Source organism: Homo sapiens, chromosome 15, assembly GCF_000001405.40.
Source record: "Homo sapiens chromosome 15, GRCh38.p14 Primary Assembly".
Classification (NCBI taxonomy): Eukaryota; Metazoa; Chordata; class Mammalia; order Primates; family Hominidae; genus Homo; species Homo sapiens.
The window spans coordinates 88,290,118-88,313,736 of NC_000015.10; the positions used below are offsets into that span (position 1 = coordinate 88,290,118).

Here is a 23,619-nt window from a genome sequence, read left to right on the forward strand (position 1 = left end):
ACTGGATCTTGCCTCATCATCAAAGAAGCATCACCTGACACTTGGGAGTGGTAACAGTTAAACGGGATACCATTGAATTCAAACAGTGAATTACTGTGGCCAGAACCAGCAAAGGAGGGAGGCCTTGTGGGAACTGGAAAAGAGGAGGAAGAACTGGAGTGGGTGGCTTCAAAGAGCCCCAAGGCCTTCTCTGTCCAGGGATGGTAGGCATGTGCCCCACCATGGAGGAATACCCTTCTCCAACAGCCACAGAAGGTGGCGTAAGGACACAGGACCCCACAGGGCAAGAAATCTCCTTCCAGCTGGATCTTGGAAGCACATGCCACCAGCACGGACATGGAACCACCTTCAAATGATGGAAGGATCCCTTGTACCTTGACACTGGCAAGGCAGGGGCTCACCTGTGTGCATTCTGATCTGGAGCCCCCTCATCCGGCCCCACCCCACCCTGCCCAGATCCTTCACGGCAAATCAGCCACCACCACTCTGGGGCTCCTGGAGAGTTTAGCCATCATGAGCAGGTTTCTTCAGGGCCTGATGCACTCAATGACCTCTAGTCTGCCTGGGTGGGACCTGGTGCTGCCACCCAGAGCAGCACCTCTGAGGCCCAGCCACCTACACCTGTGATATTCACCTCCACCCAGACACCTTCCAGCTCTGGCCCTCTGCACCCCCACAGGACATTCTCTTCTATCCCAGTGGGCTCATCCCAGCCCCTCCAGCACTGGGCCCCAAGCAAAACTCCTGGTCCCCTCCTGGAGACCAGAGCTGCTGAAACCACTGCAGAGGGGTCAGGCTCTCTTGGCCATGGGGAGCTCATTATTTTAGAATATGCCTGCACCTCTGGGAAGTGTCAGGGCACAAAACAGGGTGAAAATAACAAACCGACACCACTCAGCAGCAAATGCCACACATCACAACAGGGACCTGACAAACGAAGAAAATAACTTGGAAGGGGGAGAAAGAGTTTGAGGCTCTGAATCTTGGCAGGGTGAGGAAGGTGAAATTGAAGCCTCCCAAATGTGAGTTCCTCTAAACTAGGGCACCGTCCCTGTGGTCCTGCACTTCACCCCCATCCTTGTGTCGGGTGGTGGTGGGCTGGGGCAGGCCAGTGCAGTCACAGGGCAGACAATGGAAGTCCTATCATGAGGGAGGGTCAGTTACCAGCCACACCGAATCATCTGAACTGAGGTCACCAACCCCAGGGTTGGAGAGAGAGAGTAGAAGTCAAGGAGAAAAGCCAAAATGGGCCCAGACACCAGGGGAGACACTGAAGGCAGTGGGTCAGGGCAGGAGAAGCAGAGAGACAGGAGCTTAGAGAGTTCCTAAGCCCTGGGCAGCTTCTCATGCCCTTCTCACACCTGTCACAATGGGCTTGGAAAGGTGTGTCTCTCATCACTGCCTGACTGGTCTCTGCTTCCTGTTCTGGTCACTGTACCCACTTCCTCTCCAGGGACCAATTCCTCCCTCATGCTCCACCCATGGTTGGGGGTGGCACTGGCCTCACACCCTGGCTTCGGGTGGCAAGTGTCCCAGGCCTGGCCAATCAGAGTATTCCACTCGTGACCCCTGGCCATGCCAATAGCTAATGCATGAGCTGGAAAGTAAATCCTGTTGAGAAAAAGAAAACTTGGGACGGACTGCCAGGCAGAGGCATGACATGAGCCTCTTGCTGCCAACAGTCATCATGTGGAGAGGGTCTGCCAGAGAGAGAGGAAGATAAATGGAAAACAAACTGTGGAGTAAGCAAGCAAGATAAAGAAAGAAAGCGGACGGCATTATTTGAGCCCCTGGAGCCAGCTGTACCTGACATTTCAGTTACACACTGAACTGGTAAGTTTCAGTTACACACTGAATTGATAAGTTTTATTCGAGTTTAAGCCACTTTGGGTTTGGTTTCTGTCACTTGCAACCAAAAGAGTTCTTGATCCATCCAGATGCTTTAGGTCCATGAAAGGGGCCAATATAGGATGTCATCTCTGGCCAAGGCCAACTAGGTTCCTTATTTAGGAAGCAGAGATGATGCTGGCCTAGCAGAAGCTTTCCCAGATTATCCTTGGGGGTGATGCTACAGGGCATCCTGCAGGAGGGAATCCTGCAAAAGGGGCCGTGGACCAGGCTGCTGGGAGAGGGGGTAGGTTCCGCTGCATCATGGCCTTGCCTCCTTGTGGCCAGAGAGACACACTTGATGGAAGCCCGTACCTCACACCAAGGATAGAGACACGAAGCTCACACAGCTCTCTGGTGTCAAGCATCACATGGTGCCAGTGGCCTCTCCTTTTGCTACACCCACCTGCGACCCTAGGGTGGGACACGCATGCTGACCTCATCCCACTTTGTGCCACTGTGGCTTTTGTGCCTGGCTTCTCGCTCCACGAAGTTGTGATCTCTTCATTGTCTGCTTCATATAATGGAATTTGTGACAAAGTTTTGTTTTGTTTTGTTTTTCTTGGAGAGAAGAAGTCCACTGCTGTTTTTCACATTTAAGAACAGGTGGCCTAAAAGTCCATTGATGGCCATGGTGAGCCTGTCTAGAACAGGGGGCTGACCTGTGCACCTGTTCGAGGGCATGCCTCAGTCTTATAAACTGGGCTTCTTGACCTTATGGCCCTCTTGTAGACAATATAGCTTTTTTCTTTAGTTATGGTAGAATACACTTAATGTAAAATTTACCATTTTAATCATTTTTAAGTGTACGCATCAGTGGTACATTCACATGGTAGTGCAACCATCACCAGCATCCATCTCTAGAACTTTTTTCTAGAACTTTTAAGTGTACGCATCTCTAGAACTTTTAAGTGTATGCATCAGTGGTCCATTCACATGGTTGTGCAACCATCACCAGCATCCATCTCTAGAACTTTTTTCCTCTTCCCAAAAAACTCTGTCTCCATTCAGCAATAACTTCCCATCCCCCACTCTCTCCAGCCCCTGGAAGCCATCATTCTACTTTCTGTCTCTGTGATTCTGACTACTCTAGGTACCTCATATAAATAGAAACATAAGTATCTGGCCTTTTGTGATTGTTTTATTTCACTCAGTACAATGTCTTCAAGGTTCACCTATGCAACACAGCTTTTGAGACATTTTGTTGTCATAACTAATAACCAGTGCTTCAGCTCTTTACTGAGATGGCCAACTCGTCTGCTTCATTTCACACCTAGGGAAGGTGAAGTTCAGAGAAGGGAATCTGTGTTTTTAAATATAGGCCTCGCACCCTATCGCCAGACTTACATTAATACTGCAAGCACTGAGCTACTCATTCCTCGTACATCTGGTACACCTACCTCTTGAACTCCTTTTCTGACAAGTAACAGGAAAACTTTCCAAGAAAGAGGAGATGGATGCAGGACCCAAAGAATAACTTGGTTATCTATTGATTTGCTTCTCTCTCCTCACATTTCCAACCAATCTCATAAATTTGGAGAATAGTGATTTTAGAAGAAGGTTTCATCAGGGTAAGTTTGTGATGTCTTGCCCAGGCTCAAAAGATACAACCTTATTTGAGTGAATTCATGTGACCCTAAAAGGAATTGAGCTTTCATTTCAAAGACTCCCACCAAAAAAAAAAGAGTGATCCTGGTGTACCCATAGCCACACTCACACATAAACTCCATTACAGGGCACTGGATCTTGCTTCTAAAACTTTTCCAGCTCACCTGTTCTGACTGATGACTTCTTGCTCTGGTTGCTCCTGGCTTCTACCTGAGCTATCACTGCCATGTGGATCCCACTCTTTGTCCCAGGCCCCCAGCACTTTGTAGATGCTCCTCCAGCCGTCCAGTCTTGGCACCTGAGATGCACCTTCTGGCCCCATGCATGGCCCCCATCCAGTTTGCATCCCAGATGCTTCTATTCCCAGCCTTGAAAACAAATAAGCCAGAAAAGGGCAGTGGATACCACCCAAGAGAGCCAGTTCTTCTACCATAGGGGACAAAAGGAAACCTTGGCACAGTATTTGGATACAAATGAGCTGAGAGTCTCCATTCCTTTCTACTGAAATCTCTCGCCTACCACAAACCGGAGAATCTCTATACCCTATCTCTTGTCCCTACAGGAATACCCCTTGGCTTTGCCAGGAAGTTAAGGCCAACTGACATAGTATGCCTACACTTATCTGTTATGTAATAAACGCAATAGCTGGGTTCCCCCCGACAACTTTTTTTCTTTTTCTTTTTTTTTTTTTTTTTGAGATGGAGTCTTATTCTATCACCCAGGCTGGAGTGCAGTGGCGCAATCTCGGCTCACTGCAACCCCTGCCTCATGGATTCAAGCAATTTTCCTGCCTCGGCCTCCTGAGTAGCTGAGATTACATGCACACACTACCATGCCCAGCGAATTTTTGTATTTTTAGTAAAGATGGAGTTTCACCATGTTGGCCAGGCCAGCCTCTAACTCCTTGACCTCCCAAAGTGCTGAGATTACAGGTGTGAGCCACAGTGCCCAGACAGGCTTTCCCTTCTAACTTAGGTGAAGTCACCAGAGCCTCATATAGGCAGAGGCTAGGCTTGATACAACTAGAGACGCTATGAAACCTTTGAGACTCCCCTGATTGAATCGACAGGGAAATTTTACCCCATTGATGTAAAGAACAAGGGTCTGGATTAGAAGTACATTAAGAGCCTTGTGGTCGCATTATTCAACAAGCAAACACTTCTCACTTAAGGGGATACCTGAAAAATGGTAGGTGGAAAGAGATCTGGATGGGCCTGGGTCCAAATGCTGATTTTTAAAAAGATTCTATGTTAATTCCACTTCCATAAAATGAAGGTGATACATTTTGCCTCAAAGGGTTGAAGAATTAAGTGAAATAACGGGTATAAAAGTATTTGACATACTGCCTGACATATACTAGATTCTGAATGTCGCTTCTTTCTTTCCTCCTACCCTCCCTCCCTTCCTTCCTCCCTTCCCCCCTTTCATCAAATAAGCAATTACTTTTATTAAGAATTAGATTCCCTTGGCATCTTCCTTCCTGCTTACCTCACAACTACCCCATTCCACCGCAGGAAGAAATAGCCATCGAATCCATCCGGGTACAGAGCATTCACTAGGGTGCCTGAGGTTACTGTGTGTCTACACTCAGCTGTCTCTTCCCTCCAGTCTATACAGAGGATCCTCTTGGGACCTGGCTGTTTTTCTTTCAATGCCTTCTGTTCAGCTGGCCACAGTTAGTGAACACCTAAGATGTGCTTTCAGGCTTTAAGGCACTCTTTATCATAGAGTCCAGCAAAAGTGATTCTTTATTCCTATTTGGTTCTCTACTCCCACTCAATGTCTTAAAACCCTGCCAAAGCATCGTTGTTGGGTCAAGACATGAGCATTCCAAGGTCTCTGGCAGATATCCCTTTAAACTAACCTAATATGTGCCACCTACCACCAATGGGACAATTTCTGCCTTGACTGGCAGAGTTCCCTGAATGCTGGGAGGAATTCCTTCAGCTTGACCTTTGCCCAAGCCCCAGCAGACCTGTTCACCTTCCTCAGACAATCTCCCTTGGCCAAGACACCTGCCAGTCTCACTGGGGCTACCTTCATTCATTCCCTGCAGTGAGGAACTGAGGGAGGTGAAGAAGAGGCTGATGCCCACCCACCAGGAGACAGCTGGCTTGCAACACACAGTGCACTAGACAACCCTTCACTTGGAAATACTCACTGGAAGGAAAAGGCCTAACAGGATAATAGGTTGTTTTGTTTTTGTTTTTGTTTTTTTTTAAAAAAAAAGCTCTTGCTAAAGAGATGAAGAGTCTCCATCTCCAGCCCTAGATCGGCAGTCCAGTTCTCTCACCATCTGTTTTAGGGAGGTCAGGTTTTGTGGCTAAAAAAATTGATGCTGTCCCCATAAATATAGTTCATATTGCATTGCACATATTTATAAATATAAGTGCTGTAGCACTACCACATTGCCTGTGAAGAATGCAGGCAGGTTGTGATTAGAGGTGAGCCAGTTCCTGATTGTGGGTTAATAAGCTCTGCTAATAAACTGCCTGTAGCTTTACTTAAGAAAAATAATATATTTCATCTTAGATAGAACAATTACAGTGCATGTAAAATAGATATTTTTGCCTAATGAGCATTTGAAACGCTTTCTTTGGGGGGAAACACACACACACACACACACACACACACACACAGAGCACTCTTTTCTTTAAAAGAAAAAAAAATCAACCCTTACGTTCCCTCTGATTGGACTTTGCTGAGGACCAACTTCAAAAGGTTTGAGTGGTTTTCCAGTTTAAAAGCGGATCTTCCACTGATGGCCACTGGCAACAGAACAAATCTTAATGAAATCAGAGTTGGATCCCAAAGGGGGCCTGGGGGATGTGGGCTGAAGGGCAATGTGAGTCATTAAACAATAGGGCTCCGAAGAAATGCCTTAATTAGCAGTGAGAGGAAAGCTTGGAATGGGTACCCCAAGACTTCGTGTGCCAGCAAGGAGAGAGAGCAAATGAAAGGGAAGCAGCAGGAGACTGCAAGAGTGTGGGTGGTCCAAGGCAGCAGGGTAGAAATATTACTCCAGACAAGATACCAGGCAACATTTGGATCCTGGGTCTGCATGAACCTCTGATCAGCAAGGGTCTTAAAAACTTTGAGCTGGAAGAGACCTTAATTTAAGACTCTGATTCTGAGATGGCAGATACGTGATATATATGCTACCTTTCTCTCCTCCTGCATCCCTTTGCAGACATGGCTAATTGGTGGTAGCATTCTTTCCTGCTAGTCCCAGGCAACCACTCTGAATTAATTGGAACTGGCAAACCTCTTTGCCATCCCTGATCTAATCTTGCGTCTTTGTTTCAAGGTAAGACAAGTGAGATCCAAGATGAAATCATGTTGTTTTAAGTATTCTAAGTGACCCTCACAAAGGTCTTCAGACTCTCTCCACTACAAACCATATCCAGGAGACTTCCAGTTGTGGGTCGTTCTTGGTTTCATCAAGGACACCCTCAAATGAATCACAATAAACCTTCAAGAACTCAGAAAATAACCCACAAGAATTCAGACAAAGAAAGTGATGTTTGTTCCAAAGACTCACCTTTGAATGAAAGAAGATCCCAGAAAATAGATGGGAGGGAGGGGAAGGATCAACGGAGCCATTAGGTCACACGCCAGCAGTAAACTTTCTCCACGGGCACTGAGCCAGGTGAGATGGCAATGTTGCCTGAGATGAACACTGATCCTGTCTTCCAGCCTGGCTATCTTACTTGCTAGGGCTGCCATAACAAAATACCATACACTCAGTGGCTTCAACAACAGAAATTTATTTTTGCACGGTCTGAAGGTTAGAAGTCTAAGACTGAGGTGTCAATGGGGTTGGTTTCCTTGACTTGCAGATGGCCACCTCCTTGCTGTAGCCTCATGTGGCCTCTTCTCTGTGCACACTCATCCCTGGTGTCTCGTCGTCTTCTTACAAGGACATCGGTCATACTGGATTAGGGCCCACCCTTATGACCTCATGTAACCTAATGACCTCTTTTTTTTTTTTTGAGACGGAGTCTCACTCTGTCACCCAGGCTGGAGTGCAGTGGTGCGATCTCGGCTCACTGCAAGCTCCGCCTCCCGGGTTCACGCCATTCTCCTGCCTCAGCCTCCCGAGTAGCTGGGACTACAGGCGCCCGCCACCATGCCCGGCTAATTTTTTGTATTTTTAATACAGATGGGGTTTCACCGTGTTAGCCAGGATGGTCTCGATCTCCTGGCCTCGTGATCCGCCCACCTCGGCCTCCCAACTAATGACCTCTTTTAAAGACACTCTCTCCACGTATAATCACATTGGGAGTTAGGGCTTGAGTGTATGAATTTTGAGGAGGGCACAATTCAGTCCATAACACAGAGTCATCAAATCACAACCCTTGGAGTGGGAGGGATCTCAGAAGGCACCACCTCCCACCCAATACTCAGCACAGGGCTCCTTCTCCAGGACATGAAGGTGCTTTTCCATCCTCTGTCCAACCGTGCCAGGAGCCCTGCATCCCCACAAACACAGGTGCAGGAGGAACAGCTAGCAATGCTACCAAACAATAGTGAAGAACCCACTAAGCAGAATAACGGCAATATGGCTGTGGAAGAAAGGCCTGGAGCCATGCAACATTGCTGGCTTTGAAGATAGATGAAGAAATCACAAGCCAAGGAAAGCGTGTACCTCTAGAAGCTGAAAAAAGCAGGGGACAGATTCTCCCATGGAGCCTCCAGAAAGGAACACAGCCACGCAGACACCTTCATTCCAGTCCAGTGAGACCCATGTCAGACTTCTAACCTACAGAACTGTAATCAATGTGTGTTGTTTGAAGCCGCCAAGTTTATGGTTTTGCTATAACAGCCATAGGAAACTAATTCAACCACCTAGAAACTGATGAAGTTCTCCCAAATGCCGGCAAAGAGGAAAAGGACAAAAGCCCCAGAAGGAAAGCTGGCAGAAGTATGGGGAAAGGAGAGATAACAGGGTGCCTACCACTTGGAAGACAGGACCCCACTGCTGTCTGCTGATGGAGACTTCCACGCACAACCAGTGTGCTCAGCGTGATGAATTCCCAGGCCCAGCTCAGTGCTGGCACAGAGTAAATGCTCAATGAAATTCTTCAAGGATTCATGGAACCCCCATATCCACCTCCTCATGGGGCCTCTAGCCTTAGAGGACAATATTGGCTAACAGGAGTGTCTCCAGCAAGAGCCACCAGCTTCTCGTAAGGATTACAAAATCAATTTTAGAGGCAACCTTGGGTTTTCAATAACTATTTGAAAGGAAGGGCGATCCAGAATTCCTTTTTCTTCTATAGAAGTTAGTATCTATAAAAGTCCTGCTGTAAAGGCTTTTCTTTTCTTTTTTCTTTTCTTTCTTTCTTTCTTTTTTTGATGGAGTTTTGCTCTTGTTGCCCAGGCTGAAGTGCAGTGGCACAATCTTGGCTCACTGCAACCTCCACCTCCCAGGTTCAAGCGATTCTCCTGCCTCAGCCTCCCGAGTAGCTGAAATTACAGGTGCCCGCCACCATACCGAGATAATTTTTTGTATTTTTAGTGCAGACGGGGTTTCACTATGTTAGCCAGGCTGGTCTCGAACTCCTAACCTCAGGCAATCCACCCGCCTTGGCATCCCAAAGTGCTGGGATTGCAGGCGTGAGCCACCGCACCTGGCCAAAGGCTTTCCTTTTGATACATCACTCTTCTAGGTAGCAGTTTAACCCTTGAATGGCAGCCTTTTCTGTGACATCATTTATCTTCCGTCTGGACTGCTCCCTTCATCCCTGAGGCCCTTGGCCAACAGGTCAACAAGCCACAGGAAGAAAACCAGAAAGGAAGGAGGGTGAGGGGCTCCTTGGAAGCTATGGTTTCTGCCAGGCCATGGAGCCAAGCCAAAGGTCCACTGTCCAATCCTGGAGAGGCTGGCAGATGACAAGTGCAACCAGTTTTCCCTTCTCCCCCAGAGCCCAGAATCCAGGGACATGTGCAAGGCACGTCTGGTCTTCAGTGTAAAAATAAACCCAGGGCTGTTAAGCCCCAGCATATTAATGACAATTAATGATTCGCTCTAATCCTCCCCAGCTCTCCGTGGGCATCTGTGACATGCTTTGGGCTGGACACCCCTCCCCACTCCCCCGGCCTCCTGCAGATTCTGTCCATATGCTGAGCTGCTTGGGAATGCAGGTCTGGGAGGGGAGTTTCACAGGAAGAGATACTTGCTACAAAATGCCTGCTCAAGGGTAGCTGGAGAGCCCATCAGCCCTGGCTTAGGGGTCCCTTTCACCTGCTCTTCCCTGAAATCTGCAGGATGAGAGCAGCCAGTATCTCCCTACAAGACTCCCCCGGGCTGGGAGCTTTGGCCAAGGAAACGGCAGCTTCAAATATGTGCACCTGGAGGGTTACACCTTGGTGTTTCACATGCTCCAGCTCCTCAGCTTAGACCCTGCTCAAAGAGCAGCCCCATTTCACCCCTGCTGACCAGCCTCCCTGCTCAGAGTTCCAGATCCTAAAGGTGAATGGCAGCCACTGCCAGCCGTAGAAAGACTCCAACCTCTTTAACCTCTCTGCTGAGCTAGGAGTTTCTCAGAGGCAATAAGTCTCCTTCATGCGAACCCCATCCCCCACTGCAGCATGCATCCCTTCTCACGGCATGTGCCTGGTCACCCCATCTCCTCCCCTGCCCCATAACGTGGGCGGGCAGAGACCACATCTGCCGTGTGCCTCATTCAGTCCCAGTTGCCTGGCATGGGGCTAGGTGTCACAGGTGCAGAATAAATGTTGGATGCCCGCCTGGCCAACTGGCCCCACATGGAAAGTGCTTACAGCCATGCTTCCCACGTGCTGAGTGCCCTGTGAGTGTGAGCTCTTGTTCTTGCACATCCACTGTCACATTCAGTCCTCCCACCACCCTATGCCCTAGGTGCTATTATTACTCCCATTATTTAGAGGAAGAAAATAAAGTTTCCGCAGCTGAAATAACTTGCTCCAGGTCTCACAGCTCACAGATGCTAAAGCAAAGGTCACACCCAGCTTGTATCTGCCCCATTCCCTCACAGTCATTCAGAGCAGAGGGATGTCCAGCCTTGTCAGACCGCAGCTCCTGAAGTCATTTGGCCCAAATGGACCAATCTGGCCTTCACAGCAGCCCCAGGAACCGGATTTTTATTACAGACCCCCATTTTACAGATGAGGAAACTGAGGCTTAGAAGAGCTAAGCAAATTGTCAAAGTCACAGAGCAGAGCTGGGGTTTGAGTAAACCGTTTGTGGGTAAAGATGATTGGCACATTTCTGACTGGTCAATATGCTGAGGACTGGATGTAGGAAAGTGAAGAAAGGCCTTGCAAGAGGCGCTCTGTGGATGTTGGTGAGAATTTGCTCTGAGGTCTGGATTCCTCACTGTGAGCTCAGAAGCAGGATGGATGTTGCTAAAGCAGGCGGTAAATTTGCTTTGTTGATCATCAGGCCATGATTTCTCTACCAAACTAGGGGTAGGTGCCTGGCTGGCTCCAGCCCAGCCCATGCATTTGTAGCCCACTCACTCAGGAGAAGGGAGGGATTGATTGCTGGAGGCTCTGCCAGCTTCTCCCTGAGCGGAATGAGCAGGAGATAAACTTTGCTGAGATAACACGCTGCCTTTTCTTGCCAGTTTCATTTGGGATTAAAACCACAATGAAAAATGAAAACAGAATCAAAAAAGGCCCGAAAACCAAGTACCTTGAAGACTTTCTCCCTCTTTGAAACCTCTGTAATTGGGCACTTATGTAGGGCAAGAATGACAGACTCTTGTAGCTATTACGGAAATACACACAATGAGGAAATTGTTGCCTTCATAGTCCTATATGGAATGCCTATTACTCTGCTGCATTGGGTTTCCACACTGAATGTCTTCGGTAGAAAAGGAAATCTCCCTTTCCAAACCCCCAGCTGGCATTGGCAAAAAAGAATCAGGTTGCTGCCATAGACTCAAATTGACTCACCAAATTCCCCCTTAAAAAGCACAACCCCCTGCATAGGCAGGCCTGTAATGTAATGCAAAACATCCAATTCTATAATGTTTATGCTTCCATTTCAGGCATCCAGACAGCCAGGGGGAATTAACCTGCTCACCACTGTGCTTTCATCTGGCTCAGTGCCGTTGCCACCACTGCTGCTGTTTTGTTTTCCATCAGCCTCTATATTCACCTGTGTTCTCTTCTCCTTTAGCCTGGGTGTGGCTCCCATGGAGACCCAAGCTGAAAAGCACCTTCCATTCTTGCCCTTTCTTGATCTTCCAAGACACAGACTCACGGGACTTCCATCTGAGCTGCAGCCTCTCTCTCAGATTGAAGTTGCTGTTTCAGAAGAAATCAGCAGTATCCACCTCTTTACCTAAGCAAGCAGCACAGTCCTTGAGTTTTTCTTCTAGAAAAGGATGGTGATGTGTGAAATGCCCCCACTCTCTTGACCTGTCCACACAACCAAAAGCCAGGCATGTCCAAGCAAGCAGAGTAGACACAAAGACATATTTGTTGAGCTGTGAAACCAAATCCTGCATTAGAGTTTTTAATACCTAACCCCTTTCCCCACTTCCCCTGCACATGCACATGCATGCACACACAAATACACACAGACACACAACACACACAGCCCTCTCGATGGCCTCTGCCTGCACATGGGTCCAAGCTGTCCAGGACCCTCTCCAGTGCATTGCAAAAGCCTCCTACCATGTCTGTCACTATTTGGCCCTCTCTCCGATCCAGCCCTGCACATTTCCAGAGCTTGGTTATGCCACTGCCTTGCTCAGAATCCTTCAGCAGCCTCCACTAGTCCTAGAATAAAAGCTATCCCCTTCGCCTGGCATTCACCACCTTTCCTAACCTGGCCCCAGCAAATTTCTCCAGCTGTATCTTTCACTGCACCCACTCACCCTCTGCCCAACTGGTCTACTCTGGTCTCCTGTGCACACACCCACGCTTCTCCTCCCTGTGAGCTTGCTCATTCTACATCCTCTGCCTAGACTGCTCTCCCCTCCATCTCTACCTGTCAAATCCCACCTCTCCTTCAAAGCCCAGCTCAGGTGTCACCTCCTCCACAAAACTGCCCACACTTAGCACGGTGCCTGGCAAAAGCAGGACATGTTCACATGCAGTTTTGCAATGCAACTGATTCAGCTCAGCCATATCAGCATTTAAAATCCCTGTGTCCTACCTCACCCAACTCCCATCCCACCCCTGGTTCTCACCCTAGGGGTGAGAGTTGACCAGGGGATGCAGTTTGGGGATGGAGTGAAGATGTCTGGCTTGTACGTTTCTAATTTTAAAATAGCTGAGAGTATATGGTTTGGTTTTTAAGTGCATCCAAATGTCTCACTGTGGAAAAGACTGCACCAGAATCTCCTGTTCTCTACCTGTCCCGCAGTAGGTGCTCCACATGCTTGTTGAATCAGTGATTGAATCAATGAATGAATGACTCTCCCACAGCTCCTTGCAGCTTCTTCCCTCCTTAGTTCACTCTGCGATAACCAGCCTGACTCCCTGCAACACCTCCCACTACGCTTCTCCCCACTGCTAGACCCACCAAGCCCCTTCTGTTCTCTCAGCCCCTCCCCACCTTGGAGCTACAGCAAAGGGAAGGGAAATATCAGGAGCCCATGGCAGCCCTCCTATGCGCAGTGACTCAGTGACAGACATCTTGCCAAATAGCCTACTCTGTTCCTTGCCTCTCTGGGTGGCTTTTGCCTTGCTCCTGAGACCATGGCCTATCCTTCCTCCAGGTCTCAGAAGGAACTATACTTCCAGTTCTCCACTTTCTCCATGGTATAGCTTCCTTCTACTCAGAGGCTAATTCCCTCTCTGAACCTCAGCCACAGGACAACTCTGCCACTAGCAGCCCAGCCTCTCTGATGCCATCTGCCTATGCTATCACCCAGTGCCCACCCCAGACTGCTTATCACCAGATATTGCCACTCTCTTCTGCCAGATTTGTGGTGGCAGAGATTGGCTAGATTCTCACCAAACCCATCCCCCCTCTTCCTGGCACATACCTGGACTTCACTCTGTGGAATACAGTGCAGCCATATGACATTGTTCTGATGTGAGTACAATGGAATGCAAGAAAGTGAAGAACCTGTGTACTTCACCTCTAGGCCCAGCCCATAGACTTGTTCAGTCTTCCTCTCTCCTCCCTTTCTCCTTCCTCCCCCCAGCCTCTCTCTCTCTTTCTCTCATGTCCCCCTTTTCTCTATCGATCTCTATATCTATCTCAATGGATGATTGCAAATGAGACTGCACTAATACGGTAGCCACTAGCCACATGCAGTTATTTCAATTTAAACTACTTTAAATGAAAGAAAATTAAAAATTGGTCAAGCATGGTGGCTCATGCCTGTAATCCCAGCACTTTGGGAGGCTGAGGCGGGCGGGGGGGATCACCTAAGGTTGGGAGTTCGAGACCAGCCTGACCAACATGAAGAAACCCCACCCCTATTAAAAATACAAAATTAGCTGGGCGTGGTGGCGCATGCCTATAATCCCAGCTACTCAGGAGGCTGAGGCAGGAGAATCACTTGAACATGGAGGTGGAGGTTGCAGTGAGCCAATATCGTGCCATTGCACTCCAGCCTGGGCAACAAGAGCGAAACTCCATCTCAAAAAAGAAATAGGAAAGAAAATTAAAAATTCAGCTCCTCAGTTGCACCAACCACATTTCAAATGCTTGCTCACCACAGCACAGGTAGAGAACAAGTTCACAATTGCAGAAAGTGCTATGGGATGTGCTGTTCTGTGGAGCCCACACTAAGGGAAGTCTGGCCCTCAAATAATGCCATGGGGCAGAGTCATCCCCTCCCCTACTAACCTTTGAATAAACATAATGTGAGTGAATGGGAAATGACCTTTGATTGGGTGCAATTGCTGAGGTTTTGAGATTGTTTGTGACAGCAGTCAGTACACCCCAACACCAGCCACTCAGCTGCCTTAAACACTCCAGACACAGTACCCTGGCTTGTCATCTTTGCCTCCTTCACTGGGCCCCAGAGAGAAGCACAAGGGGTCAGGATTTCAGCCACTGCCTTTCTGACCCTTCCTTCTTCCTACGAAGCTCTGCAGCTCTTTGTATTCCTCTCCCAACCTCTGTATTTCCCAAACTCTTTTCAGCTTGATTGCCAAATCTATTACAACCTCTATTATCATTTACTTAATATCTTTTCAAAAACAAGCTCTCTTTTTAATTTGAATAAATATATTGACTAGAGACACTTTATGCAACTCTTTAAATGGAGGCAGACAAGTCCCAAGATCTTTAATCAGCCAGCTGGAGACCCAGGAGAATTGATGCTATAGTTTCAGTCTAAAGGGGAGGAAAAAAAACCCACTATGTCCCAGCTCAAGGCAGTCCCAAAGGAAATAATTCCCTCTTATTCTTGGGAGGGTCAACCTTTTTATTCTCTTAAGGTCTTCAACTGATTGGATGGGGCCCACACAACCTAGGCAGGGCCATCTGCTTTACTTAGTCTTCCGATGTAAATGTTAATCTCATCCAGAAACACTCTCACAGATACACCCAGAATAATGTGTGACCAAATATCTGGGCACTCTATAGCACAGTCAAGACAATGCATTAAATTGACCATATATTTACCACAATTAGAAGATACAATACAATGAAAACCTAACACTATGATTAAGTCCAGCTAGAATCTGTCGCCTATCAAAGGCTCTGGGTCTGAGGTCTGCTATTTTTTTGTCTATTTAAAAGGGAGATGAACAAGTACTGGGGAGGTGTTAAAGATGAACTAATACCATGATGAGACTTTCACCTTAAAACGATCAGCAGGATTGTTAAAGAATCTAAAAAAGAACACCTTTCCCACAGCGTGATCAGCCGTCCAATGTATATCCATATCTCATATCAGATGAGCCCCATTGCCCTCCGGAGGGATCCATGCCCACTTAGGGGCCACTATCCTAGACTATGGTCCCCTGAAGGCCAAGATCACATTTAAATGGCAGTTGTATATCTCTTGGTGCCTCACACGTAGGAGCCACTTAATAAACAGTAAATGAGTGAAGATATGGCCAGGAACAGTCTCTGACCTAGTTGGCAGTTTCTGTCAGAAGCAGAACATCATGACAAAGGAAATGGGACTAAAATGTTAAACCACACTAAAGGTTCCATCTACCAAATCGCTCCTGTGGCACACTGGGGCAGGGCTACGTCTAAAGGAATTAAGACATTCAATAGATCCAGGGCCAGATTAAGACATTCTGAGGCCCTAACACCAGAATGTATTTTTACAGACAGAACATTGAACATTCATATCTAAATACAAATTAAAGCGGCATATATACAAAATATAGTGTATTAAGAGAGAAGAAAGGGAGGGAGGGAGAGAGAGGAGAAGGAGAGAAGGCAAAGAAATGGAAAATGAAAGAGGAAGAAGTGAGGAGAAAGGGAAAAGGAAAATGCCCTATCTGATATTTGACCATAGCGTCTCCCCTGTGTGAAACTCTTCAGTAATTTTTTTCCCTTTATAATAGGGACAAGGCCACTCTCCTTTTTAGGTACACAAGGTTTTGGATCACTTATATCTAAATCTAGCCCCCCTAAGACCACCCAGTGTCTGCAGGTCCCCACAGGAAGAGTCATGCACACTTATGGACTACCCAGGGGCATCTTCAGCTGATGGGGCCTTAATGTCACCCAGGACTCCCTGTTCTGGGGGAATTCTCAAAGGTAGATGCAGGGCTCCAGGAGCTGTTTTCAAATTTTCTAAAAAACATAATAGGTATTAAAACCTAATAGGTATTATATATTTTCCTTCAACAAAGCCTAGTAGTAAAGCTCACAGCAGGGTCCTGTACTTATCTCTAATGTATCACGTCATTTTCTTGCTTGTCTCCCGCAAAGGGGTGTGAGCTCCTTGCAGTTGGAAACCATGCATTTGACTGATTTCACTTTTTAAAAAAATATCCTCAATGCCTGGCACATAATGATCCTTAAATGATGTCTGATGAATAAGTGGCCACTGGATGAATGAAACAAATAAATGTGATACTACACTGTTTCCATTGCATACGTCGCTGTATATATATATATACGTATATATATACATATATATGTATATATATATACGTATATATATGTGTGTATATATGTGTATATATATACACGTATATATGTGTGTATATATGTGTATATATATACACGTATATATGTGTGTATATATGTGTATATATACAAGTATATATGTGTATATATACACGTATATATGTGTGTATATATGTGTATATATATACACGTATATATGTGTGTATATATATATCTTAGATTAATCAAAATGTGAAGGCAAATTCATTGGTAGTAAACATAAATTATTTTGAAGGAAATATCACTCCAAACAAATGAAAAAAATAACGAAAATGGTGCTAGGGAAGAAAGAGGCTGGGATCCTTAGATAATGCACAGATATGTGTGTCCCCACACGTGGCCTAAGAAGCTCTAATCTCCCCCAGAGGAAGCTGGACCCTGGGGACACAGCCTGCTTCTAAGCCACCAGCTCCTAAGGCAGTATTTCTCAAAGTGAGGTTTGGAAGCCACCAGCATAAGAACTGTTGGGAGATCTGTCAAAACACTGATTCCTAAAACATGCCCCAGACCCAGAAAGTTGGAATATCTGACACCAGGATTTGAAACCCTACATTTGTAAGTTCTTTGGGTTACTCTTAAGCATCTTCAAGTTTGAGATATTGCCCCGAGAGTTCCTGGGCAAATCCCATTCAGGCCACCTGCCACCCAGGGCTGGGGGTAGGCTCAGAGCAGCTGTGTCATCCCCACATCCCAGCTGTGAGTGCTCATCCCTCACCTGGGACCCATAAATGTTGTGTTGGAGAGGAGATGTAGTGAGAACCAGGCATAAATCATGCTCCTCTGCCCCTCTTTCCACCCTCTGCCTTCCCTTAAGGAAGGCCCTGACCCCAGGGACTGCTCACCGGGTATTTCAATAAGCTCCAACTGGCCCTTTATCAGATGGTCCAGTCAATTAGAACTTCATCAGGAATCAATTTGTGAGGCCCAGCTGAGATGTAACTATAGATCAGGGCAGTGGCAACTGATTATCCCACTAATGGAATATTCCATTGATTAATTGAGTATTTAAATCTTTCCGAGGGTGGCTGTGCTTGCTGCCATTGTCGCTGGATGAAAGGGATAGGAGAGTGTCGTGCAGTCAAAGAGGAAGCTGATGGTTCTTCCTTCATTTAGCAGCTCTCAGCAAAATAACGGGTCAGCCTCACGTTCTCAGAAAGCAAGAACACTGCAAGGTCTTTGGCACAACGTAGAAACCTCCCACCAGCTGATTGAACCAATCAGGGGATGGTGGGTTTTAATTCGCTATTTTTCTGCAAAGCTGTGTGCTGAGGACCTCAAAGAAACATCCATTCCAGTGCTTCTTATAAGTTAGAATCCCCTGGAGATTTGCTAAAACACAGATCCCTGAGCCTGCCCCCCAAGTCTGATTCAGCAAATTTGGGGCGGGGCCTGAGAATCTGCATTCCTAGCAGGCTCCCTGGTGAAGCTGGGGCCACATTTTGAGTAGCACTTACCTACATTTTATAAACATATATTTTAGCAAACAGAAAGGACAGACATTATCTGATACCTACTTGGGTCGTGCTGGAGTCTGAAATTTTAAAATGCACATTATCCATGACAATGCAGTATTGACGACAATTATAAGATAGTCATAACGTGCTACATTCACACAAAGGCAGATGTATACCGTACATCTTGCTGGGGCCCTTGATCAAGAGTGAGGTTTGGTTTGGGATTTCTATCCTGAGTCCAGTTCTTCCTAGCTATGTGACCCTGCATAAGCAACTTAGCTTCTCCCTACCTGGGTTTCCTCAGTCTGAGGATGCTCATTCCTGCCACGTGGTAAGAACGCACATAAAGCGCTTAACGCGATGCTTGGCACATAGTAAAAACTCAATAAACGGAAGCTGTTACTATTATTACCCTGATACCCAATGCCTAAAAAGGTCTCAGAAGTCAGGTTCCCTTTGGGGAAGAGAGGGATGTGATTGCTTTCTGCCGAGAAGCAGATGCATCTGCTTAAGGGATGTGGAGAGCAGCAGGAAAGACCGTTGCTCCCAGCATCTTCACTGTGCTGGGTCTTTCCCACAGCGTGGCTGTGAAGTTTATGATGTACAGACTGCCAGGGGCCGGAACCAAATTTCCCAGAACAGCTGGCAGATGGTGAGGGAAAAGGAAAGAAGAAAGGGAACTGGCATTCATTGAGGCCCTACTGTATGCCATGCTCTTTTTAAATAAGGGATCTCACTTAATCTTTACTGAAACCTGAAGGGGTCAATATAATTATCCCTATTTTTCAGATTTGGAAACTGAGATACAGTGAGGGAAAGAGAATACTTCCAGACAATTGGCTGGTGGGCTGGAATTGGATCCCAAATTTGCTTCACTTTGAGATTTGCGGTTGTTTTTTTTTTTTTTTTTTTTCCGAGGCGGAGTCTCGCTCTGTCGCCCAGGCTGGAGTGCAGTGGCGCAATCTCTGCTCACTGCAAACTCCGCCTCCCAGGTTCACACCATCCTCCCGCCTCACCCTCCCGAGTAGCTGGGACTAGAGGCGTCTGCCACCAGGCCCGGCTAATTTTGTTTTTGTATTTTTAGTAGAGACGGGGTTTCACCGTGTTAGCCAGGATGGTCTCTATTCCCTGACTTCGTGATCCGCCCACCTCGGCCTCCCAAAGTGCTGGGATTACAGGCGTGAGAAACCGCAATCGGCCAGATTTGTGTACTTTCCACCACACCACACCATGGGTGTCGTTGCAGGTGGAGGGGTGACTTTGTGGGTGATGCTATGCCATCACACATGACTGAGTGAAGGTGTATATATACACATCATACAGGCAGATGCAAGCCATCTGTATTCAAAACACAACGGAGTAAGTTATTCTAGTCACTCAGAATTCAACCTGTTCCCCTGAGGACTTTCTTACCACTAGGGGCCACCTTCTGGAGTACGCTCCTTCCCTGACAAATACAGATTGCTTCACTAGTCCTTAAATTTTCATTTGAGTGACCTACAAAACACAAAGAATGACAGTGGTTCTTGAATTATTTTAGCCTGTAAACTACTTCAATGGGGGGGAAGATCTCATAAGCTACCTATCATACAGCTCCTCAGAAATAATGGTGTCACTGACACTGCTATTGATGAATCACCCTTGAGTGATGTCTAGTTTTCAAAAAATACAAGAGTTAAATTATTTATCCATGCCACACCAAATTGGGCCCACCGTCGTCTGATAAAAATTAGTCCTAAAAAAGATGTACCCATCAAAACCTGAGGGCCTCTCACACCTATGGCTGAGAATCCCAATGCTCTGATATCATCTTTTCCCCAATGACTTGAGTACAAGTCTTGGAAGGTAATAAAAAGTCAGAGGGTAAGAAGGATGAATTGGTCTGTCCTCAGCCCCAATTTTCAAGAACACGTTTGCCCATGTCATTATGGCCGTGTGGGGGCACCCATGAAATGAACCAGTGAATTATTTTTAGTGTCATATAGGATGCATCAAACTCAGCATCCAGAGTGTTGATTCTAAGCAGGCTCTTCCAGTAACCAGCTGGTGACCTTAGCAAATCGTCTGTCACTATCTGGGTCACAGTGTCTTCAGTCCTAATGTCCTGTGATTTTAAAAGATATTCCCCATCTGACAGATGGGATTTTAGGGGCCCTGCCTTGCAGTAAGGAGCAGCACCTGCCCTAGACAAGGATGTTTCCTCAAAGGGTAATTTGAGCCTAAGCAGTAAGTATGGCATAGGCCACTTTTTCATAGCCAAGGGGAGGGAAGACAGGAACAGCATGAAAAATTCAAAAAGCAAAGATCAAAATTTAGCCAAGGGTGTCAGGCCACACCTCAGCTAAGCCTTTTGCAGACTTCGCCCCATGTCCTGTGTGGGTTGTGAACCCTGCCAACTGCAAGCTCATCCTGGCCAGTCCCTGAGCCAACAAGAGCCAGCCAGCCATAGAGCTTGTTCAGACCTCCCCCTACTCATATGAGACAGGCTTTTAGAGGTGGTCTAAGACTGGAATACCATGTTCTAGGTGGGCACGGGGCTAGAATAACTCCCTGAATGCTTTTAAGAGGGTAATGCTGTAACCTCTTTGCCTAGCACACTTGGGGTGACCTTGTGTCCTGGCACCTGATTCCTTGAACCTACTCCAGTTCTCATCAAGAACTGAGCTCTAGCCTGACCTTCAAGGCTATTTCCTACCAGTCCCTGACTCACCACAAGAAGGTGGTAGACGAGCTGGACATAATAGCCAGGACTCCTTTTCCACCACTACAGAGTTCCACACACTGATGGTGGTAGTCGGGTTCTGAAGCCCAGTGATGAGGCTTTTGGCCGCATGTAACAAAATGTCCCATAAAAATTAATCAAGAAGGGCATTTAATTACCAAACCTAACAAGAAGTCACAGAACCAGCAGCATTCAAAGGTCTATCCAGTGGTTCAACAATGTCATCAAGGAACCAGGTTCTTTCTTTCCTTCTGCTGTCAGCATCAATTTTCTTAAGGTGTGTATCCTCATGGTGTCAAGATGACTGCTGCGGCTCCAGGTATCATATCCTCACACCCCATATTCTTAAGAATTAAAAATGGCATTTTATCCTCACATGTCTCTTTTTACCAGGGAGGAAAATCTTTCTTGGAGATCTCCCTGCACATTGCCCCATTGGTAAAGATTAGATCCCATTGTCCATGCTCTGGATGCAAAGGAGCCTAGTGAGGTGAGTAAGTGACTTTCTAACACTTAGAGTAGAAGGCCAACCCTAACAACAAGACGGGATTTGGGATACAGAGAGATCTATTATGTAGGCAACCAGCAGTGTCTACCCTACCTGGTAAGATGGGTGTTTGCCTGGATAAGGTCGAGCCATAGATATCTCTTAGACATGTGAAATTGCTTCTTGAATGAGTTTGGAGTTCTAGGATGGTATAAGTATTAGAGAGCCAGTTTTGATGCAGGATATGAAGGACCATTCCAGACATAAAGCATATGACAGGCAGGAGTGACAGACCCACAAAGCAATGCCTATTGCAGCTAGGGCTTGAACAGTGATGGGAATCAGGGCTGCCATGCTGCCCAACTCCAGGTGATGCTATGCACATAGGACACAATTGATACTGCACTGAGAAGGTACACATGGACCTCTGTGCTCATTGGTGAAGACAGTGTAAGAAGAAGGGCTTGATCTCTAGGACAATAAAAAGCCACCGTGGAACCTTTGACACTGCCCCAGGTCTCTGAGATCTCCCTGCAGATCCTCACACCTTAAGCATCTGCTCCCTAACCCCAAGTCTGCCGCCATGCTCAGCTCATTTACTTCAGGCAGGGAATGAAAATAATCCCAAATCTGGTGGATCAAACCTCATGAATAATCTCTGGTGAGCAAGAAGAAACAGTTACTTTTTGCATCCCTCCTCCCTCGCTCCACCTTCCTACTTTTAGTCCCATTAGGACATAGGTGGCAAATAAGTGAGTCCTAGAGAACAGCAGAAAAGAGATCAATGCGGATCACTGGGATTAAAGTGAGGGTATGGCCTCTCCAGTAAGATGTCTTTGCCAGCACTAAGGCCCAGGCTGGAAAATAACCATCCCTACTTGTGTCAAGATCTGTAGGAGTGCCAAAATGAGCTAAGGGCTCGCTCAGGGAAAAGCTCCCTGGCCTCTTGGAGGGCCTGCTCTGTTTCTTACACCAGGTGGCTGTTAGATTATGCATAGTAATGTAACTAGCAAAAATGAGCACGCCCTAGTACAGTCTAATGTGGCCCATGCTCTTCATGGTTTTCCCCTGCAAGTGATAAAAAGAGCTTCCCTGCTTTCTCCTATAAGAAGTGAAGTAGATTTGGAAAAGGAGTATGAGGTTCTGAGTGGTGAGATGGGGCTGAGGGCAAATGGTGTGGTGTGCGTGGTGTGTGTGTGTGTGCGTGTATGATTTGTGTATGTATGTTGTGGCTTTAACAGAGCCAAGCATGGACACTATGTGGCCATGCATGGGGTTTCCACTGCTCCAAGTGCTGTCACCAGAATGCCCAAGGCAGCTGCAGAATCGACTGGGCTGAGATGACAGCCCCTCTTATACCCACTGAGCTTGACTTTGTTCTCTCAAGTTACCAGCCCCTCCACTCCTGCAACCCACACTTCCACATGCTACTTTGGGGCTGAGCCTTGGGCTTCTAAACAAGCCATTGGTTACTCTGGTCCAGGGTGTATGCTGTTTCAGGGGCCCTCTGACCTCCAAGAAATAGGTGTTGTCGCCTGCATTCTGCAGAAGAGGCATCATGTAACCCTCCCAAGGCCACACAGCTAACGAGTGGCTGAAGCTGAATTTGATGTCTGATATTTTTCTCTTAAAAGCTCTTCCTTAGGGCCAGAGCCCCATTTTCCTTGGGATAAGAATGGAGGTTCTCTGGGCGCCTGAGGGTAATAGAAGACAGATGCTTTGCCCACATATGTCTGGTACATTTTTGCAGCGTGAGAAGCTCTCTTCTCCCATAGCAACCACTTGGGGTTTTCAGCTGCTAACCCTGTCCTCCAGGACAACAGCAGTCTAGGCTAGGCAGGACCACATTCCCACACCCCACTCCAAACTCTTTGTCTTAATAAACCCTGGATCCCACTTCTTTCTTCCCAGCTTCTCGTTTATGTTTCCAAAGAACACAATAAGCACAATTGATTTTAAAATAAAAATCTCTGGGTTATGCACAGAGGCATTATTCAGAAAGGTTAAAAATGATGAAGCAGCATTATTTCCCATTATCTTTACTTTGTAACCTTGCAGTTGAAACACCGCAAGACCAGGGTGGCCTTCCTTAATGGCGTCACGTGTGGGCAGCTGTTTCAGGTGGGCAATGCATAGGGCAGTGCCTAGTTGTCCTTGGCTCAGGACAAACCACAAAGGACAAAGGCTCATAAGTCAGCAGAGCTGGAGGAGGCCTTCAGCACTATTGGGTACAACTTCTCCCTTTGCTAGCCGGGAAATGTGAGGGTAGTTCCATCCAAGAGGAAAGGAGACCTCGGGAATTTGTGAGTCAGTGTGAGCAGAAAGCTACAAGGACCCAGAGAATTGCGCCAGAAGAGAAAAGTCGGCCTTC

At 46.9% G+C, this 23,619-nt stretch overlaps 1 long non-coding RNA gene across 1 annotated transcript in view; it reads left to right on the plus strand.

Moving 5' to 3' along the window:
* The first annotated feature begins 777 nt into the window (after window positions 1-777).
* The window catches only part of LOC105370958 (uncharacterized), a 31,383-nt gene continuing 8,541 nt past the window's right edge, over window positions 778-23,619 (plus strand). Inside the window, exon 1 of the long non-coding RNA XR_932589.2 lies at window positions 778-1,833. This is a non-coding gene — a long non-coding RNA (uncharacterized LOC105370958). The remainder of the gene's footprint in view (window positions 1,834-23,619) is intronic.